This window comes from Homo sapiens, chromosome 11, assembly GCF_000001405.40.
Source record: "Homo sapiens chromosome 11, GRCh38.p14 Primary Assembly".
In the NCBI taxonomy this organism is placed as follows: Eukaryota; Metazoa; Chordata; class Mammalia; order Primates; family Hominidae; genus Homo; species Homo sapiens.
Genome location: NC_000011.10, coordinates 80391165 through 80413198, shown reverse-complemented (window position 1 = coordinate 80413198; position 22034 = coordinate 80391165).

Genomic DNA, 22034 nt, shown 5'->3' with positions numbered 1-22034 from the left:
TAATATACACATTGATTATCATATATAATAACTACTAATGAATAAGAAAACTGACTAGAACTTATTTTGTTACTTTCATTTTGATTATCATTATTATTAAAATTGCTTCTAAAATATCTTCAGTGGAATGCTAATCTCTTCAGATAAAGAATACAAAAAACTTTGTGAAGTGCACTTGAACATATTAAAAGCTCTGAAGTCTTGTAAGGAGAAAAGCCGTTTAAATTGTTCAAACCAGGGTTTTAAGTGTGAAAGTACCTATGTGACATCATCAGCTTAGCAGATGCTGATAATTTGAACGTTATCAGTTCCCAGAACTCTCAACCACCTAAAGCAACAGACTTATCTCTCTTCCAGGGTGCTACTGTGCCTTTTCACTGGGAGGTACTGCTGTTTGGAGACTAAGGGCCAATCCAGAATTCCCAGTGTTTATTTTTTGCTACAGTACTCACTCAGGAAACTAAGTTGAAAGTCAAGTGGTTTCCTGAAGAGTAGGTGATAAGAATGATGTTGGATCTCCTGCAGAACATCTGACTTGAGCTCTGTCTGGCCTTAAGAAGTGGCAGTTCTCCGTAAAGAAAGAACGCCTGACCGCCTGGGTCTGGTCCATTTTACCTCTGCGACCTGTGGCAACATATTCACTGCTTTGTACCTGAGTCTTCATCTGTAATTGTGACATTATACAATGTTGTTTTGAGGATTAATGGAGACTATGAAAAATGTTCTTTGTACATATTGGACACATGACAAGCTATGCAAATAATTTTATGTGATTTATTTTATTTTGAAATTTATATTTTTAATTGCCATTTTTATTTTAGATTCAGGGGTACATGTGCAGGTTTGTTATAAGGTTATATAATGTGATGCTAAGGTTTGGACTCCTATTGTTTCTGTCACTCAGATAGTGGACATAGTGTCCAACAGAATGTTTTTCAGCCATTTCCCACCTTTGCTACGACATGACTTTTTTCTTTTTTATGGCTGTGTAATATTTCATGGTATATATATACCACAATTTTTGTAATGCAGTCCACTACTGCTGGGCACTAGGTTGACTCCATGTCTTTGCTATTGTAGATAGTACTGCAATGAACATACAAGTGCGTATGTCTTTTTGGTAGACTTTTTTTTTTTTTTTTTTTTTTTGCTGGGCAGCAGGGGATGTGCTCAATAATGGAATTGCTGGGTCAAATGGTAGTTGTATTTTTAGTTCTTTGAGAAATCTCTAAATTGCTTCCCACATGGGCTAAACTAATTTGCACTCTTACGAGCAGTGGATAAGCATTCCTTTTCTCTGCAACCTCATCAATATCTGTTATTGTTTGACTTTTTAATAATTGACATTCTGATAGGTGTGAGATGATATCTTACTGAGGTTTTGATTTACATCTCTCTGATGATTAGTGATGTTGAGCATTTTTTTCATGTTTGTTGTCCACTTGTATGTCTTCTATTAAGAAGTGTCTGTTCATGCTCTTTGCCCACTTTTTAATGAAGTTTTTTTTTCTTGTTGACTGATTTAGGTTTCTTGTAGATTTTTTATATTAGTCTTCTGTCAGATGCATAGTTTGCAAATATTTTCTCCTATTCTATGGATTGTCGGTTTGCTCTGTTGAGAGTTTCTTTCGCTGCTGTTTAGAAACACTTTAATTTAGTCCCATTTGTCTATTTTTGATTTTGTTTCAAGTGCTTTTGGGGACTTAGTCTTAAATTATTTCCCTAGGCCAATGTCTAGAAAAGTATTTCTTAGGTTTTCTTCTAGAATTTTTACAGTTTGAGGTTTTACATTTAAGCCTTTAGTCCATCTTGAGTGAGTTTTTGTATACAGTGAGAGGTAGGGATCCAGTTTCATTCTTCTGCGTATGCTTAGCTAGTTTTCCCAGCACCATTTATTGAATAGAAGATTTTTTCCTCATTGCATAGTTTTGTTGACTTTGTCAAAGATCAGATCGCTATAGGTGTGCAGCTTTATTTCTGGGTTCTCCATTCTATTCCATTGGTCTGTGTGACTGATTTTGTACCAGTACCATGCTGTTTTCGTCACCGTAGCCTTATAGTATAGTTTGAATTGACCTCCAGCTTTGTACTTTTTGATTAGGATTGTTTGGGCTATTGAGGTTCTTTTGTAAATCTGTATTAATTTTAGAATAATTTTTCCTAATTCAGTGAAAAATGATGTTGATAATTTGATAAGGATAGCATTGATTTTGTAGATTTCTTTGGGTAGTAGGAACATTTTAATAATACTGATTCTTCCAAACCATGAGCAGTAAATACTTTTCCATTTGTTTCTGTCATCTGCCATTTTTTTTCAGCAGTGTTTGGTAGTTCTCCTCATAGAGATCTTTCATGTTCTTGGTTAAGTATATTCCTAAGCATTTATTTATTTATTTATTTATTTATTTATTTATTTATTTATTTATTGTGGCTATTGGAAATGAAATTGTGCTCTTAATTGAGTTCTCAACTTGAAGGTAACTGACATATAGAAATGCTACTAATTTTTGTACATTGATTTTGCATCCTGGGACCCTGCTGAAGTCATTTATGAGGTCTAGGAGTCTGTTGGCAGAATCTTTAGGATTTTCTAGGTGTTGAATCATTTCACCAGTAAGGAGAGATAATTTGACTTCTTCTTTTTTAATTAGATGCCTTTGTTTCTCTTGCCTGATTTCTCTGGCTATGAAGAGATTTCCAGTACTACGTTGAATAGGCGTGGTGAGAGTGGACATCTTTGTCTTGTTTCACTTCTGAGAGGGAATGCTTCCAGCTTTTGTCTGTTCAGTATGACGTTGGCTGTGGATTTGACAGAGATGGCTCTTGTTATTTTGAGGAATATCTCTTCTATGCTTAGTTTCTTGAGGGTTTTTATCATAAAAGGATGTTGGATTTAATAAAATTCTTTTTCTGCATCTATTGAGATGATCATATAATTTTGTTATTAATTCTATTTATGTGGCAAATCACATTTATTGATTTGCATACATTGAACCATACTTGCATCCCAGGAATAAAGTTCACTTGGTTGTTTTGAATTAACTTTTTGATGTACCTCTGGATTCAGTTTGCTGGTATTTTGCTGAGGACTTTTGCATCTATGTTCATCAGGGATACTGACCTGTAGTTTTCTTTTTTTCGTATATTTTTGCTGGATTTTGGTGTCAGGAAGGTACTTATCTCAGAAAAGGAGTTAATGAGAAGTCCCTTGTCCTCAGTGTTTTGGGATAGTTTCAGAATGATTGTACCAGCTTCTCTTTGTATTTCTGGTGGAATGTGGTTATGAATCCACCTGATCCAGGACTGTTTTTGGTTGGTAGATGTTTATTACTAATTCAATTTTATTACTCTTTATTGGTCTGTTCAGGATTTCTGTCTCGTTCAATATCAGGAGTTTGTGTGTTTCCAGGAATTTATCCATTTTCTCTGGATTTTCTAGTTTGTGTACATAGAGGTGTTCATAGCGGTCTCTGAGGATCTTTTGTAATCTGTGGAATCAGTTGTGATGTCGCCTTTGTTAATTCTGATTATTTAGATCTTCTCTCTTTTTTCGTTAATCTAGCTAGTAATCTATCAATCTTGTTTATCCTTTAAAAAAACTTTTCATTGACCTGTATATATTTTTTGAAGTTTTAATTTCATTTATTTATGCTCTTATTTTAGTTATTTCTTTTCTTCTGCTGGCTTTGGGGTTCTTGTTTTCTGGTTCTTTCAGGGGCAAGGCTAGATTGTTAATTTGAGATCTTTGTATCTTTTTGATGTAGGCATTTAGTGCTATAAACTTGCTTATTAACACTGCTTTTGCCATATCCCAGAGGTACTGGTATGTTGTGTCTCTATTATCTCTTGTTTCAAAGAGCTTTTCTATTTCTGCCTTAATTTTGTTGTTTGCCCAAAACTCATTAAGGAGTCAGTTGTTTAGTTTCACTGTATTTTCGTGATTCTGAAATTTTCTCTTGGTATTGATTTATATTTTTATTCCACTGTGGCCTGAGAAAATGCTTGCTATGATTTTGATTTTTTAAAAAATTTGCTGAGACTTGCTTTAAGACCATGCGTGTGGTCAACCTTAAAGTATGTTTTGTGTGCAGGTAAGAAGAATGTATATTCTTTGGTTGTTGGAGGGAGTATTCTGTAGACGTCTGTTAGATACAATTGTTCAAGTGTCAATTTAAGTCTATAATTTTGTTTGTTTGTTTGTTTGTTTCTGCCTTGATGTTCTATCTAATGCTGTCAGAGGAGTGTTGAAGTCCACCAGTATTATTGTGTGGCTTTCAAAGTCTTTCCTTAGTTCTAGAAGTAATTGCTTTATAATCTGAGTGCTCCAATGTTGGCTACATGTATAATTAGATTAGTTAAATCTTCCTGTTGAAATGAACCCTTTATCATTGTGTAATGTGGTTTTCGTATTTTTTGTTGTTGTTGTTGTTGTTTTTTAAAGGCTGAAGACCTCACAATAGAGTCAAGAATTTATTTAACTATTCTCCTGTTGCTGGGCATTATAATGGTATGATGAATATCTTTTCACTGTAATGCCTCCCTATATTTTATTTTATTTATTTTTTTAATTTTATTATTATTATACTTTAAGTTTTAGGGTACATGTGCACAACGTGCAGGTTTGTTACATGTGTGTACTTGTGCCATGTTGGTGTGCTGCACCCATTAACTCGTCATTTAGCATTAGGTGTATCTCCTAATGCTATCCCTCCCCCCGCCCACACCTTGTATTTTAAGGTCTATTTTATCTGATACAAGAATAGTGACCCCTACTCTTTTTTGTTTTCCATTTGTGTAATGGATATTTCTCTATCCCCTTACTTTGGGCTTACAGGTGATGTTACATGTGAGATGGGTCTCCTATAGTGAGTAGGATGGGTCTTGTTTTTTATACAATTTCCCATTCTATATCTTTTAAGTGGGGGCATTTAGGCCATTTATGTTCAAGGTTAATATTAATATGTGAAGTTTTATTCCTAGTGTTAGTGGGTTATTTTATAGTCCTGATTGTGTAGTTGCTTTACAGGGTCCATGGGTTATGCATTGCATGTCCTTTTGCAAGTATCATTACTTCACTTCCATGTTTAGAACTCCTTTAAGCATCTCTTGTAGGACCAATCTGGTAGTGACAAATTCCTTAAGCAATTGTTTTTCTGGGAAAGACTATAATTCTCTTTCATATATGAAGCTTAGTTTTTGTCAGATATAAAATTCTTGGCTGGCATTTTTTTTAACAATGCTAAAAACGAGCCCCCAGTCTCTTCTGGCATTTAGGTTTCTTCTAAGAGATCCACTGCTCATCTGATAGGTTTTTCTTTATAAGTAATATGACCCTTTTCTCTAGCTGCGTATAAGATGTTTTTCTTTTGTGTTGACCTTGGAGAGTCTGATGACTATGCTTTGGGGAAGATCCTCTTGTATAGTATCTCGCAGGAGTTCTCTTGATTTCCTATCTCTTCATGTTGACCTATTTAACAAGATTGGGGAAATTTTTCAGAATTATATCCTCAAATATGTTTTTCAAGTTGCTTACTTTCTCTCCTTCTGACTCAGGCATGCCAATAAGTCATACATTTGAACTGCTTTACATAATCTCATATTTCTCAAAGGCTTTGTTCATTTAAATTGTTTATTTTTATTTTTATCTGACTACATTGATTTGAAGGACTAGTCTTTGAGTTTTAAAATTTTTCTTTTTCTTGGTCTAGTCTGTTGTTAAGGCTTCCAATTGTGTTTTGAAATTCCTGTAGTAAGTTTTTTAATTCCAGAAATTCTGTTTGGTTCTTTCTTAATATAGCTATGTCGTCTTTCAAATCTTGGATCATTTTGCTGGCTTCTTCATGTTGGATTTCCACTTTCTCTTGGATTTCGTTGAGTTTCTTTGCTATCCACATTCTGAATTCTACATCTGTAATTTTGAACATTTTATTCTGGTTAGGATTTATTGCTTGGGAGACAGTGGGATCCTTTGGAGGTGATGAAACACGCTGGCTTTCTGTGTTGTCAGAGTTCTTGCACTGGTTTCATCTCATATGAGAAAGCTGTCTTTTTTTGAATTTGCTATCATTTGGATGCAGCTTCATATTTTATTATTTTTTTCCTTAGGAGTATGACTGTTGAACATACTTTGTAAAATCAATTGGCTTTGCTTCAGGATGCTCTGTAAGGCTTTATAAGTATTCCTTGGTTGCAAATAGTTTTATTCAGTGGCTTTCTGAGACGTTGCTTGTAGTAGGAATTTTGTTTGATGGTGTAATTCAGGCTGCATTCCAGAAGGTGGTACTTAAGAATAAAAGTGGTTAGGGGTGGGGGAAGAAGCAAAGGAGATGTGTGAAAAGGGCCTTCTCCCTGCACATTTGCCTTCAGTGGGGATGGAGCTGCTCTAGAAGCCCAGGAAGTGACCTTTTCCATTTCACACTCCTCAGACCCTGAGAGGAAGAGCCATTGCCGAGTCCGCAACATTGCACTGAGGCAGGGAGTAGGGAGGTGGGAGATGAACCCCTCTCCACATCTGTTTCTGGGCTTTGGTGGTACTGCCTTCAGCACATGGTTCTGTGCTTGTTTTCCTTTGACCTAAGGGAGGCTTTTGTGGGCTGTGCTCCCCCTTCCCTTAGGGGTGGACCATGCCAAGGTTTAGATCTCCAGTTCTAGGCATTTTCAATGTCAAAGAGTCTGTATAAGTTCCTTGGTTATAGATAGCCTTTTTGTGGTGGCTTTCCCAAATGCTGGTTGTAGTAGCAATGTACTGGGCATGGGAGGAGGCTCATTGCCTCCTGTGGGGCTGAAGTGTCAGTGGTCTCAGGAAGTTTGTCTCATTCCCCAGAGCTGTGTGCTTATATCAGCGGATTTCCTGTCGTGTTGCACCATTCAGTCTCCAGGTTGTTATGGGTAAGAGTAGGCTGTGGCCAATGTGGACGGGTATACACCTGATCATTATTTACTGGGAGAAGCTCCCTGTTGCCTCAGGCATTGGGCAGATCCATAGAGTGCACAGTGGTCTGAGCTCCCTGCTCAGTCCCAGGGGGAGAACCAAGATGGGTGTGACAGACAGGGCAGGCTGGCTTAACAGGTCCCCTGATGGCAAGTACAAGCACCAATTCTCTGGGTGAGGGTGTTCAGTGGGTGGCCACCAAGCACTCAGAGTTGCGCCTAGGCGTGGAGCTAAAAAATTTCCTCTTCCCCAAGTTCTCTGCACTGGAAAGGAGAGAAACCTAAACACCTAATCTAGAAGAGTGGGTACCCCACATGCCTCAAGATATGTCTGATGTCAAGTGAAAAGAGCACCATTGCACCAAGATATGTTGTGCATATAATTTTACTTTCCTTCCTTTTCTTACTGAAGGATATTTCTCAATAAAATTCAAGTAAAGTAGCTAGAAGCAGAGGGATATGCTACCTGTATTGTGTTTGTATACAAAGAGTGGTTGGATTTTAAAATGGTTGACTTGACACTTGGAGTATTAGTCTGTTCTGACACTGCTAATAAAGACATACCTGCAACTGAGTAATTTGTAAAGGAAAGAGGTTTAATTGACTCACAGTTCCATATGACAGCAGAGGCCTCACAATCATGGAGGAAGGCAAAGGGGAAGCAAGAAATATCTTACATAGTGGCAGGCAAGAGAGTGTGTGCAGGGGAACTCCCCTTTATATAACCTTGAGATGTTGGGAGATTTACTCAATGTCATGATAACAGCATGGGGAAACCTGCCTCCATGATTCAATTACCTCCCACCCAGTCCCTCCCATGACACATGGGAATTATGAGAGGTACAATTCAAGATAAGATTTGGGTGGGGACACAGAGCCAAACCATATCATTTCACCCATGGCCCCTCCCAAATCTCATGTCCTCACTTTCAAAACCAATTATGCCATCCCAACAGTCCCCCAGTCTTAACTCACTCCTGCATTAACTCAGAAATCCAAGTCCAGGGTGTCTTCTGACACAAGACAAGTCCCTTCTGCCTATCAGCCTGCAAAATCAAAAGCAAGTCAGTTACTTCCTAGATACAATGGTGGTACAGGCATTAGGCAAATACATCTATTCCAAATAGAAGAAATTGGCCAATACAAAGGGCTACAGGCCCCATGCAAGTCCAAAATCCAGTAGGGCAATCATTAAATCTTAAAGTTCCAAAATGATCTCCTTTGACTCCATGTCTCATATCCATGTCATGCTGATGCAAGAGTTAGGCTCCCATGGTCTTGAGCAGCTCTGCCCCTGTGGCTTTGCAGGGTACAGCCCCCTTCCTGGCTGCTTTCACAGTCTGGTGTTGAGTGTCTATGGCTTTTCCATGTTCATGGTGTAAGCTATTGGTGGATCTACAATTCTGGGGTCTTCAGGATGGTGACCCTCTTCTCACAGCTCCATTAGACAATACTCCAGTGGGGACTCTGTGTGGGGGCTCCAACCCCACATTTGCCTTCCACACTGGCCTAGCAGAAGTTCTCCATGAGGGCCCCACCCCTGCAGCAAACGTCTGCCTGGACATCCAGGCATTTCCATATATCCTCTGAAATCTAGGTGGAGGTTACCAAACCTCAGTTCTTGACTTCTGTAAACTCACAGACCCAACACCATGTGTAAACTGCCAAGGCTTGAGGCTTACACCCTCTGAAGAAACAGCCTGAGCTGTATGTTGGACTCTTAGCCACGGCTGGAGCTGAAGCAACTGGGATGTAGGGCACCATGTCCCAAAGCTGCATAGAGCAGGGTGGGGCCTGGACCTGGCCCAGGAAACCATTTTCTCCTCCTAGGCTTCCAGGTCTGCAAAGGGAGGGGCTGCCATGGTCTCTGGCATGCTCTGGAGACATTTTCCCCTTTGTCTTGGTGATTAACATTTGGCTCCTCTTTAATTATGCAAATTACTGCAGCCTGCTTGAATTTTCCTCAGAAAATAAGGTTTTCTTTTCTATTGCATCTCAGTCTGTAAATTTTCCAAACTTTTATGCTCTGCTTCTTCTTGAATGCTTTGCTGCTTAGAAATGTCTTCCACTAGATACCCTAAATTATCTCTTTCAAGTTCAAAGTTCCACAGATCTCTAGGGTAGGGGCAAAATGCCACCAGTCTCTTTGCATAGCAACAGTGACTTTTACTCCAGTTCCCCAAAAGTTCCTCATCTCTTTCTAATACCAACTCAGCCTGAAATTTATTGTTCATATCACTATCAGCATTTTGGTCAAAACCATTCAACAAGTCTCTAGGAAGTTCCAAACTTTCCCACATTTTCCTGTCTTTTTCTGAGCCCTCCAAATTGTTCCAACCTCTGCCTGTTACCCATTTCCAAAGTCACTTGCACATTTTTGGGTATCTTTATAGCGGCACCCTGCTACCCAGTACCAATGTACTATATTAGTCTTTTATCATGCTGCTAATACAGATATACCTGAGACCGTAATTTATACAGGAAAGGGGGTTTAGTGGACTCACAGTTCCACATGGCTGGGGAAGCCTCACAATCATGGCGGAAGGCAAAGGGGAAGCAAGAAACATCTTTCATGGTGGCAGGCAAGAGAGCCTGTGGAGGGGAACTCCCCTTTATAAAACCATCAGATCTCTTGAGACCCACTCACCATCATGAGAACAGCACAGGAAAACCCACCCCCATGATTTCATTCCCTCCCACCGAGTCTTTCCCACCACATGTGGGGATTATGGGAGCTACAATTCAAGATGAGATTTGTGTGGGGACACAGCCAAACCATATCACTTGGCTCTGTCATAATGGCTAAGATCAATTGATTTGCTTACTAACCTTCATAAATATTAAAAGACCATTAAAAAGTTGAAAATAAAGCCATTCTCCAAAAACACAAAAGTTGATCTAGAATTTGTATTGACATGTACTCTTTCTGTTTACTTCCTGACTCCCACCACTGCCATAGCCCTACCTCAGCCTTAATTTGCTTCCAAACTGAGCATTTCTGAGTTAATTATCCATGTGTAGGCTGGCTCTGCATAGGAGTCTGAAGTCATAGAAATACTATGAAACACTTCTCATCCATTTGAAAAATAGCTACCTCTGCTTGAGTACTTATGATGTGCAACCAGTAAACTAGGATCGCTATGTAAAACTGATCATAAAATCCTCACATAGCCTTTGGTGAATGATGAAACTAAAGCTAAGAGAAGTCAAGTGACTTGTTTAAGAGTACACATGCTTAAGTTTAATTTCTAGGCCTTGATATTTTCACAATGCTTTGTAACCAAAGCAGTGGTGATGCCAAAGGCTCCACCTCTGCCAGCAGAATGCATGTGCCCCTTAGAGGTGGAGGTTTTCTCTGATTCATTCTTCTATACCCAGTGTCTAGCACTCTACCTAACACATGGTGAGTATCAGCCAATACATGTTGGGGTAGCTTGAATGGCAATTGGGAAAGAACATGTCAGGGCCAGTATGACACTAGGACTATCTTTTATTACTTAGGACTAAGAAGAAAAGCATATTTCACAAATAACATATAAAAAACATGGGTTGGGAACAGTCTATACAGAGCCTAAACTTTAATCTCTAAATCAAGGAATACATTCTCATCCTAAAAGTCCAGTTTTCTTTGCCTTGTCTGTCAGAGGCAGTATTCACAGATTAGAGTTAGGAAAAGCTAAAAAGATCCTCCTGTCTTGTTTCTTGCTAAGATACTTAAAATTGCTTATCAGCCACTAAAGAATAACGTGTTTTACAGAATATGGCCCCAGAGAAAGGTGTTTCCTCCCTGATCTTTACTTCTTTCTGAAGATGGCTTGTCATATTGTAACCTTTCAGTAACCCAGAGGCAGTGAAGAAATGCATATGAGCTCAGAGAGGGAAGAGGGAGAATGTAGAGGGCCTTGTCAGCCATTACACGTTCTTTGGATTTTACTCCGTGTTGATGGGAAGAAACTGAGGGGGTTTGAACAAAGGGGTGACATGATATGCTTAACTTTATAAGGATTACCCACATATGGAGAACGGACTTTCAAGCAACATGGATAGAGGCAGGAATACTAGTTAGGGAGGCTCTGGGTAGAAGATAGTGATGTTTTGCCAGATTCTACAGGTGGAGGAGTGGGGACAGCAAGAGGTAGGCCTTTGCCTTCCTCTCTGGGATTTAGAAGTTTTGAAACCTGGCCAGGCACGGTGGCTCACGCCTGTAATCCCAGCAATTTCGGAGGTTGAGGCGGGTGGATCACCTGAGGTCGGGAGTTTGAGATCAGCCTGATCAACATGGAGAAACCCCGTCTCTACTAAAAATACAAAATTAGCCGGGCATGGTGGCAGGTGCCTGTAATCCCAGCTACTTGGGAGGCTGAGACAGGAGAATCCCTTGAACCCGGGAGGTGGAGCTTGCGGAGAGCAGAGATCATGCCATTGCATTCCAGCCTGGGCAACAAGAGTGAAACTCTGTCTGAAAAAAAAAGAAAAAAAAAGTTTTGAAACCCATGGATAGCCATTTTTTGGCCTGGTGATACGCTTCTGCATGTGTAATAAACCCAGAATGTGCTAACCACTTACATTGAGGATGGTGATGAAAAGGGGAAGAAATGATCAGGATAAAAATTAGTATTTGACAATTATTTTTCCATTACAACTGTATGCTTAATGAAGGGAAGCAACTTGTGTTTTTATTGTTTTTCTAGTGTCTGAATGCCCTAGACATTCAATAGATATTTTCTACATGAATCAATAAATGATTAATAGGGCCATATGGAAACAAACCATTTATCAACAGAAAAGACATACGGTTTAAATAAACTTTAGGTCTCTTTGCTTTTGGTTGATTTTTCTTGTTGTTCAATATTGTTATACAGCTCATTCAGTTATATCAAAGGTCAGATTAAACTAGCTGTGAATAAGAAATTTCAGAACTTCGTGGGCCTGTGCTGTCAGATTGGATAATAAAAATGACTATTAGAGGTGAATATTTGGAAAGGGGTGGTGCTGCTCATCTGGAATTGTACTGAAATGTCCTGTCTATCCTGTCACTGCCATGACTGAAGTCATATTTGAGGTAAAAAGTATCAAAATGCATTGTTTACTTTTCCAGCATGATTCATTGACTATGCAAAGAAAGTCTATTTCGTATTAGTGTATTTCTCTTTTTAAATTGTGGTATTTAAGTCTTCAGAGAGAGTCAAGATATTGGTGCTTAATTTAAGAGACCTTTCAGATGAAGTCGAATGTTTATATGCTTCATGAAATATAGTTCAAAGATGAAAATTGACTACAATGTAGAAAGATAATTAAATGTGGAGATTTATTAAGCAATTTCATTATTTGTGGATACTACATAATTTTTTAGATATAGATATAGATACCTATATCTAAAAAATATATAGATATCTTAAATAGATATAGCTGTTATCTTCCTTATTCCTCTTCATGGGAGAATGTTAATGTGATTGCAACATAAAATCTCAGAAGAGTATTTCTTTTTCGATGTCTTATTTTATTGATCTCTGCTTTAAAATAATTTCATGACATTTTCTTCTTTGGGAAATGACCCATGAGGAATGAACGTAATTGCTACACTTTTTATATTTATTTTCTGACTTCATCCCACATTTTAATTAATTCAAATGTAGCTATCGTTTTATAGGTAACTCACTGTGGAAAGCACTAACCTGTATGGAACTCAGCTTTGAATTCAGTGATCCAAGCATTCTCAACACTGCCGTTTACTAACTACGTGAGCTCAAACAAGCCACTCGGCATCTGAGTTTTTCAGTTTTTAAGATAGATAAATAAGCCTGACAATGCAAGGTTGTTTTGAGGAATAAATGAGATTATATCAGCAAGTAGTAGGTTCAGAGTAACTACTCACCCCATCACTAACAAGTGTATATATGCTCTGGTCATTTTCATAACTCTTGGCTAAGCAGTTAGTGCTTAGAGTCCACTGATTCTGTTTACCTTGCTCATGATAAAAATCATTTAAATAAGAGAAAAAAAGACATTCTTAGTACAGTGTGAAAGGATCCAACAAAGTTAAAATGAAATCAGAGTAAAACAATGTCTAAGCATTTCCAAAGTGTCCTTATTCAGTCATTAATATGTAAATTAAGTACTCATGATGGGCCAGTTTAATGCTAATAAGTATTAACTTTCCAAAAAGGTATAATTGATAGTCACTGCCAACTCACAGTTTCATCACTGAGGATTCTCAGTTAAAATGGCAGAGTTCTGTTATTTGTTTTCAGTTTAGTTTTACAAATGCTTGTTCAATACCAGTTAAGTATCGGGTGTGGCTCTAGTGCTGGGCACTCATTCCTTATGTCCGTGAAGCCTAAAGTGTGCTAGCAAAGGGACTGAGAGTAAAACCATCTGTTTCTCAGACATACATCAATGCTCCTAAGTTCCGGAGAATCGTAGTGTTTATACCTACACTTGTCTGCAAGGAGGAGTCCTATAGGCCAAAAGTGACTCAAAACAACAACAACAAACTCTAGACCATATGCAAGTATTCACCTCATACATAAACCAACTCCCTGAACAACCTGGTAAGCTGCCATCTTAACGGTGGCTGTGCCTCCCCTCCACATTTCCCTCAGTCAGGAGGCTAGATTGTCCACAGAAAAAGGCTTGGCACTGCCCTCCTCCGTCAGCTTTACCTCCCTGACATTCTAGATGAAATTTGGTCTCTATAGATGCATTGTTTGTCTTTTCCTGTGGTCCATCCGTGTCTCTAGAGCTCACCACTTTGATCGGATAATTTTTGAATGGGCATTTTAGGACCACAGCACCTATTATGTAAAAAACTATATCTTGCTCAAGTTCTGAGAAGGTATGCTTCAGGGCTTGATGCCCCCTCTTATTGGCCCAAATTTCAAGACATCTGACACGTAATGCTTTTTATGTTTGATTTGACATTCGTATCGTTTCTTTGTTTGATTCAAAATAGTGTTGCTATATTTTCCTCTGTATTTCATCCTTTTGGTGTTTTTGTTTATTTGTTTGTTTGTTTTTGAGATAAGGTCTTGCTCTTTTGCCCAGGCTGGAGTGCAGTAGTGCAATCATAGTGCATTTCAGCCTCAAACTCCTAGGTTCAAGCCATCTTCCTGGCTCTGCCTCCCTGGAAGCTGGGACTACAGTGCTACCATGTCCAGCTAATTTTTAAATTCTTTGTACACACAGGGTCTCCATATATTGCCTAGGCTAGTCTGGAACTCCTAGCCTCAAGCAATCCTCCCTGCTTGGCCTACCAAAGTGTTGGGATTATAGGTGTGAGCCACTGCATCTGTTCTATTTTCTTACTTTTACGTTCCTGGAGAGTTCTGATGGAGAATAAAGTAAAACTGCCTATATGCCACCATTTTAGCCAGAGGTTCACATAGACTTGAATTTAACTTCTGTTTTAATCACGTATTACTTGCATTTGCACTGGAATAAGTCACATAGTCACACGACCTGAATATTGGTTTTCTTATCTGTATTCTAAAGGTAATTATATCTCTCATGCAGGTTTATTGTGAAAAGTACAGATGTGGTATACACACACACACACACACACACACACACACACACACACATACACATTTACTTTGGGAAAAAATGGTAGCAATTCCTCTGAGGCAAAACGCAGTAAATGTTGTCATGGAGGTTAAGCTGCTTCTTCATCAAAACCCACCAATTATAGAAATTTAACAGGTATGTAATAAAAATATCTCATCTATGTGGAGCTGGCTTCCAGAAGAACTTTATTTTACAAAATAATAATATTTTTTCTCTTCCATAATTCTGCAGTATTAAAAGATTTTAAACCTATAAAGCTTTTAGCCCAAGACCACTTATATAATGTGTCAAAGATTTGGGAGAGTGTTGCATTTCTCTAGCATGATTCTGTTCTGCTGTGGCACAACTAGACTTACAATTGGACTTTTACTGAGGTCCTTAGTAGATTTCTTAGTAAAGAAACGTCAACTCTATGGTCAAAAAATGCTTTTCGATGATACATTAGGCATTTTGATTATAGTGTTCAACCTTTGTAAGGCTTAGAAAATAGGCTGCCAACCCTTATAAGAAGACATCTGCTGCTAGCCACTGTTTCTCCCTTGGGCTCCAGAATTAAGGACCTGTGAGTGTTTGGGAGAAATATCCTAAAATTTTGATTCTCAGCTTAATTATCTTTCTAGTAGTGTAACATTTGGACTGTTTCACTGCTCACCCAGTTGTGAGCATTTGCCGTCAAGTTTAGAAATTTGAATGAGCTTAAATGATAGTTCTCTAATTTGTGAGTTCCTGTTCACAATCTTGATTCATTAGTGTTCAGTCAGCATGGAATAGTTATCGAGGTACAAGGTACAATGTACATTATCAGTCAAATACAGAAGGAAAACAGGAATTACAACGTGAAAGAAAAACATCATAGATCTCAGGAGATTGACAGAATTCTTTCTTTTTCCATCAGACTACATCAAGCATTATCAATAATATGAGAATCACAACCCTTATTCTTTTCTAAGTGTAAACACTGTATAAAAAGTAAAACAAATTTATAAAACTATCCAAGCTCTAGCAAAACTTTATTTTCAGTCCATATTTTCAGCTTTATAATTTCTAATTCATATATGTCAGCGTTACAAATGCAAGCAATACTTTTGAACTCACATATGAAGAAGGCAATATTATCTTCTATTTACCTAGCATTTTAATATTCATTAGCACTTTTTTCAAATCTTTTTCATTTTTGTTTTTGATTCAGAGGAGTCCTGTGAAAAAGATATTAAAATTTCAATGTAAAGTGATTGAAACCAGGGCTCAGATGGCTCAAGGTCAAATAAGAAGTGAGAAATGTGAAGCCATACGATGGCTATATTTTCTATTTTCCTACCCTGTATATCCCAGATCTAGACATTTTTCCACTAAAAAAGTAATTCCTAGTTCTACTGGGTTTCCATCTGGAGACTGGAATCTGAACAATAAAGAGAATGAATTCCAATTGTCCTTTTCCTTTATTTAGTTTATATTTATGGAACATTTTTAAAGTTCCAGGCACTGTAACATTTTGAGTACAATCTGTTATCTTCATCATATAGTTAAGAAAAATAAGGTTAACAAAAATTCACTTGCCCACAGCCCTGCTACTGGTGAATAGTAAAGCCTGGATCTACGTACAGGCAGTTGGCCATCTGTGTTCCTACCACTCCCTCCACCATCTCCCTCCTGCCAGCTACATCTCACCAAAGATGATATCTAGCCTTTGTCTGCCTTGTCACCAAGCAGACAAAGATAAAGGTAAAACCCTAACACTGAGGAAGTTGGCGTCAAATGCAAATTGTTAATATTTTCATATTTCATATATAGTGCTGCCATTTTGTCATTTGAGTAAAAAACTTACTGAATCTGAAATAAAACTCTAACAATTCTTCAACCTCCAGGGAAATACCACAGTGCTTCCCAACCTAGGCTATATATTGGAATTACTTGTGTGCTTTTTAAAATACAAATCCCTACCCTTTATTACCCATCCATTACTCTAGGTGTGGGGCCTGAGAATCTTTGTTTTTAAAAGCTGCACAGATGACTTTTCTGTACTGTGACCAACTTTTTAGAGAGTCAATCAAGGACACAGTGATACCCGACAAAAAATGAATCATAATGATAATGATATTGATAATTTAAAAAACACATAATTATATACATATAGTGTATGTTCTTACTTTCACATAAAAATATGAAAAAGTAAAGTGTTCACCTAAAATTGCGTATTTACTCTTTACATACATTTTTCCTATTACGTAAATGCTATTGTTAAAACAGCAACGAAAATAATAGTGGCAATTAGCAGTAATTAATAGTATGACTAATTAACCAAATACTGTGCCTAGAAAACTATAGCAATTTTTTTTATAATGTTTCTTTTTGTTGTTTGGTACAGAAATTTAGTACTTTTAAACTCTGTATCAGAATTTTATATTTTATCATCTACATTAATACATACAAAAATTACACAAATGTACAAAAATGTAATATTTCTTTATATGAGAGCATTCAAGAGTCCTGTGAAGTACATTATTAATAGAACTCATAGGACCAATAGCACTAATTAAAACAGATATGACCTATATTCAAGAAAAAAATAACAATGACGTGTTTCTACCTGTCCCATATTACAGTAGGATATTTTTATTCTTTTTGTTTCTTTTTCTAATAATACTTCTCTAAACTTCCTGCAGCCTTCAGGACACCTTACATTTATTTAATGTGATGGAAAACTAAATGTAGCCATGTAAAATTTACTTTATCCTACAGATCTGCTTTTATATAAAGTCCACATTTCAGTGATACCTGGTGTCTTTCTATTGTGATGATATCAAGCTAAATATACTCTCTAAAAAAGTATTTGAGCATGGGATAGTTAGGACTTTTACTTACCTCCAACAGTGGACTTTTAGACTTATGGGAACTTGTTTCCTGATTTCCAAAAAAAATAAATCCACTTTATATCTGCAGGTATGTTTTAATAGACCACTTGTTTATTAATCAGGTCCTTTAATATCTATACATTCACTATACAGGCAATCCACACCTAAAAATGTTCATCATTTTAAAGCACTCCGAAGCACACTGGTTGTCATCCTAAGTTAAACCTCTCTTTCTCAGGGAAAATGGTTTTAGGCAGTTAGGTAATTTGAGTTTGTGAAAGTGGGCTGAATTTTAAATAAATTATAGTTTTAGTTAAACTAAGAAACTCCTATTTAACTTGGCTTCCCTTTTCTGGTGACTTTCTGTCTTTTCTTTTCTTTTCTTCTTTTTTTTTTTTTTTTAATTTGTAAAGCAATCTTATTTCCAAACTGTGAGTTTATTTTTTACTGTATGAATTTTTGTTGCAATTTAATATAACATTAAATAGCTCAGGTCCAGGCAGTCCATCCTTTTCCATGTTCTTTACCACCTCTTCAAAGATCATCAAACAGCTTTAGAGAAACAATAAGTAAATTTCTATTTTACTGTAATCCTTTCTCCATTTTTTTTTTTTTTTTTTTTTTTTTTGAGAAAAAGTCTCACTCTTGTCACCCAGGCTGGAGTGCAGTGGCATGATCTCGGCTTACTGCAAACTCTGCCTCCTGGGTTCAAGCGATTCTCGTGCCTCAGCCTACTGAGTAGCTGAGATTACAGGCACCCACCACCACACCCAGCTAATTTTTGTATTTTTAATAGAGATGGGGTTTCACCATGTTGGCCAGGATGGTCTCAAATTCCTGACCTCAGGTGAACCACCCGCCTCGGCCTCCCAAAGTGCTAGAATTACAGGCGTGAGTCACTGCGCCCGGCCCCTTTCTCCATTTTTATCCTTGGTGTATTTCCATATTAGAGAAGAATGTTCCTTTTATTCCAAACTTTGGAAATAGTGGCAGGTCAACATTTAACATCTTTTCCTTGGCAGGTAACAACGATAGCCATCTTGCAGGCCCATATCTAAAGAGAGTTTGTCTTTCCATTTTATAAAGTAAAAAATTTCACGAAGTGCTTCTGCACATCTTGAGCGAACTGAGAAGTCATAAACTTTCTTTATGAAAGTATCACTTTCTCAGGAAAACACATCATAACACTTCTTCTACATGGGCATAAGGTGTGCTGGACTTTTAGTAGACCTTTTCATTTTCTTTGGTAAGAAATTTGCAGGCTGAAGAAATCTTCCAAAATTTATAATCGTACTGTTTGCCAAAAATGTAGATGGATGAGCAAAGTCTAGTTTGTATTTAAACAAGGTATTAATCATATTTTGTTTTATTTATTCTGCAGTTTTATTAAAATGTTCATACAAATTAAGAAAACAGTTTGAAACTAGTTTTCAAATCAAAGTACTTCAAATTGTTTCTGTGATTCATTGTATCACCTTTTTTTTTAGTATAGAAAACATCATTGGTAAGATAGAACAAAAACAGCACTAGTATGTGAGAAGCTCTCTGAACTGTTGTCAAAATGTCCCGTTTTGTTTGCCACAAGGCAATTTAGTTGCAATCTCTGAAATCAAGAACTGTAACTTACTAGAGCAATCAAGAGAACCAGAAGATAATGTGTGTTCATTCATAGAATATTCCCGACTATTTCAACCACTGCTGTTTTCTACTGGGCACTGGTGTCTTTGGGGGAGATTTAAAAACTTTTTATTATTTTAGGTGTACTTACCTGTCTCATTCTGGGCTTGTGAATTTCAGTCTCACAAATTCTATCTCTTTCTTTCCATTCCCAATTCCAGATTTTTTTTCCTCTCTGTATGTTGTGTATATACGGAATGCTCCCTTAGTGTCTTTTTTTGTTTTGTCTTGTTTTTTGTTTTTGTTTTTGTTTTGAGATGGAGTCTCACTCTGTCACCCAGGCTGGAGCATAGTGGCGTGACCTTGGCTTACTGCAACCCCTGCCTCCCAGGTTCCAGCAATTCTTCTGCCTCAGCCTCCTGAGTAGCTAGGATTACAGATGTGTGCTACCACACCCAGATATTTTTTGTATTTTTCACCACGTTGGCCAGGCTGGTCTCAAACTCCTGACCTCAAGTGATCTGCCTGCCTCAGTCTCCCAAAGTGTTGGAATTACAAGTGTGAGCCACCATGCCTGGCTGTATGCTCTCTTTAGATAATTTACCTCCCTAATTCAGTTGTGTATGTCCTTCCTCCAATCATAAAAAGATCACTGTGGTTTAATTTTCTTTTTTGTTGCTATCTGAATGTTCTGGCGCTAGTATTGTAATCGTTTTTATTTTTTATTATTTGAACACTTAGAAAACATGATCACAATGTTAAACATTAAACTAACACTATCTTGATGCACAGCTATGAGTCATTTTCTCAGTCAATCAGAGACGGACTGTCACTCATGATTATGATGCACTTTCATTGCACACTAAAGTCACATACTCAGAGCAATGCAACAATGTTAACTGCAAATTATGGTTGCCAGTATCACTGGTCAGGGGAAAAAATAAACTATGAAAGATAATCTATGCCATATCCATTTGACACCAAAAAGTGTGTTGCTTTCAGCTCCCTCCCCCTCCTTTTTGCTACCGTATGTGTTTTATGCTTTTCTGGTGCCCTTCTACATCCATCTGTGAATGCTGTGGCTTCTACCACCTTGGGAACGAATTTCTTGAGATGTAGGATTTACATTGCAAAACCCAGAATGGTCCCAGGTAATCACGATGATTGGTTACCCTACACTGTGAGCAGCCTGGTATTAGAGCCAGTCCTAGAATGTTTAGCATTCAACTTTCATCCCTCCATAGTAGTGCTGATCTGAGTTCCTTGTCTGATTTTCTGACTTTGTTCTGATTCCCTAGTGTCAAGTTGGCCAGACAGGGCACCACGGAGGAAAATGGGATTGTCATGAGGGAGCTGCTCTGGGTTATGGGGCTTAGAAGATCAATTTGGCTAGTTCAAACAAAAGTTGTCTAGGAGATGATAAAGGCACTTATGATTATGATAAAGGCATTTATCATAATCAGGGTATAGTATGTCATGATATTCTGTACTAGCAATTAAGGTTAGGAGGTCATTTTATGATTCTGCCTACCATATGTAATTTCATTTTTCAAGCTCTTTGGCTCTCAGTGTAAGATTCTGAGACCCAAGTTAGGCAGACCAAAATACAGAAGTGCTCTTCATAGAATGAGGACAAGACAGAGAAGTGTATTTAAGTGGGTCCTGATTTCAATAGTAAACATAAGATGAGAGAGAGATTGCAATTTCAGTGACTCTACACATACAGAATGGAATGACAGGGGTTAGGGTAAGTTTAAAACAGAGAACTGTGCTAGGCATGGCCTGGATCATTTTTGGTAAAGTGACAAGCTTATGGTATATGAGGATTATCACTTTATATCTGCTTGTTATCATTTTATGTATATCTCTCTCTCCTCATTGTAAGCTTATGGAGGGTTAGGACTACATTTAATTTAACCTTGTCTCTCCCTTACTAAGCATAGTACCTTGCATTAATGGACAAATGAATAAATGAAAATCTTAATGCATGATTTCATGCATTTCTGGATCAATGCATACATGAAAAAGCTACAGTCAGAAGAGAGGACCAGGATGAGTCCGAGATGGGAGTTTCTCTGACTCAAACCTTCTGAAATGTATTTCTACTTAAAAGCATCACTGTTCAAGACTACCTAATAATTCTGTTCTTAAGAAACAGCCCACTTGACCTTAAAAGGTCTTTTTCATCTATTATCTTACCTAACATGGGGAGAGGGATATTGTTTCTACCCAGGATCCCTTAATACCTGCAACACTGAAAAATCTTCAAATAAATGTTTTGCTTTCTTCTTGGAGAAAAATGTCATCAAAATAAATGTTTTTCAACCTTTGTGGGCACGAGCCCCTCCCCTGCATAGATGTGGCCATGCTGTAGATTCCTAAATCCTTTGTAGGAATCACTTTTGGGAATCCTCTGTATTGGTTTGTTACTGTTGCAATAATAAATCACTACATACATAGTGATTTAAACAGCTAATACTTATTTTCTCATAGTTTTCATGGGTCAAGATTCCAGATGGGCTCAGCTGGTTTTTCTGCTCTAGGTCTCTAAAAGCCAAAATCAAGGCTTTTGACTGGCCTGGGGTATTATCTGATGGCTGTACGGTAGGATCTTCTTTCAGGATCATGCAGGATTTTGGCAGAATCTAGTTCCTTGCTGGTGAAGGACTGAGGTTCCCCCTTCCTTGCTATCAGCTAGGGGCTGCTCTTAGCTTCTAGAAACCACCCTCTGGTTCTTGTCCACAGGCCTCTGCATCTCAGACTCAGCAACTGTATGTCTGATTTTTCTCATACTTGAAGACTGATATTCATTCTGCCACATCTCTCATGCTCCCAGCCAGAGATAATTCTCTCTATATGAGGCTTATATGTTTCCTTTGGGTCCACTTGAGTAATCCAGTACATTCTCCTCATTTTTAGGTCTACCATAACCATAATTACATTTGTAAAGTCCCTTTTTGTCATGTAACATAAAATATTCACAAGTTCTAGTAATTTGGTTGTAAATGTCTTGGTAGGGGTGGGGGAATTTTGCCTATTGTATTCTCTATCTTTTGGAGCAGGTATACTGGG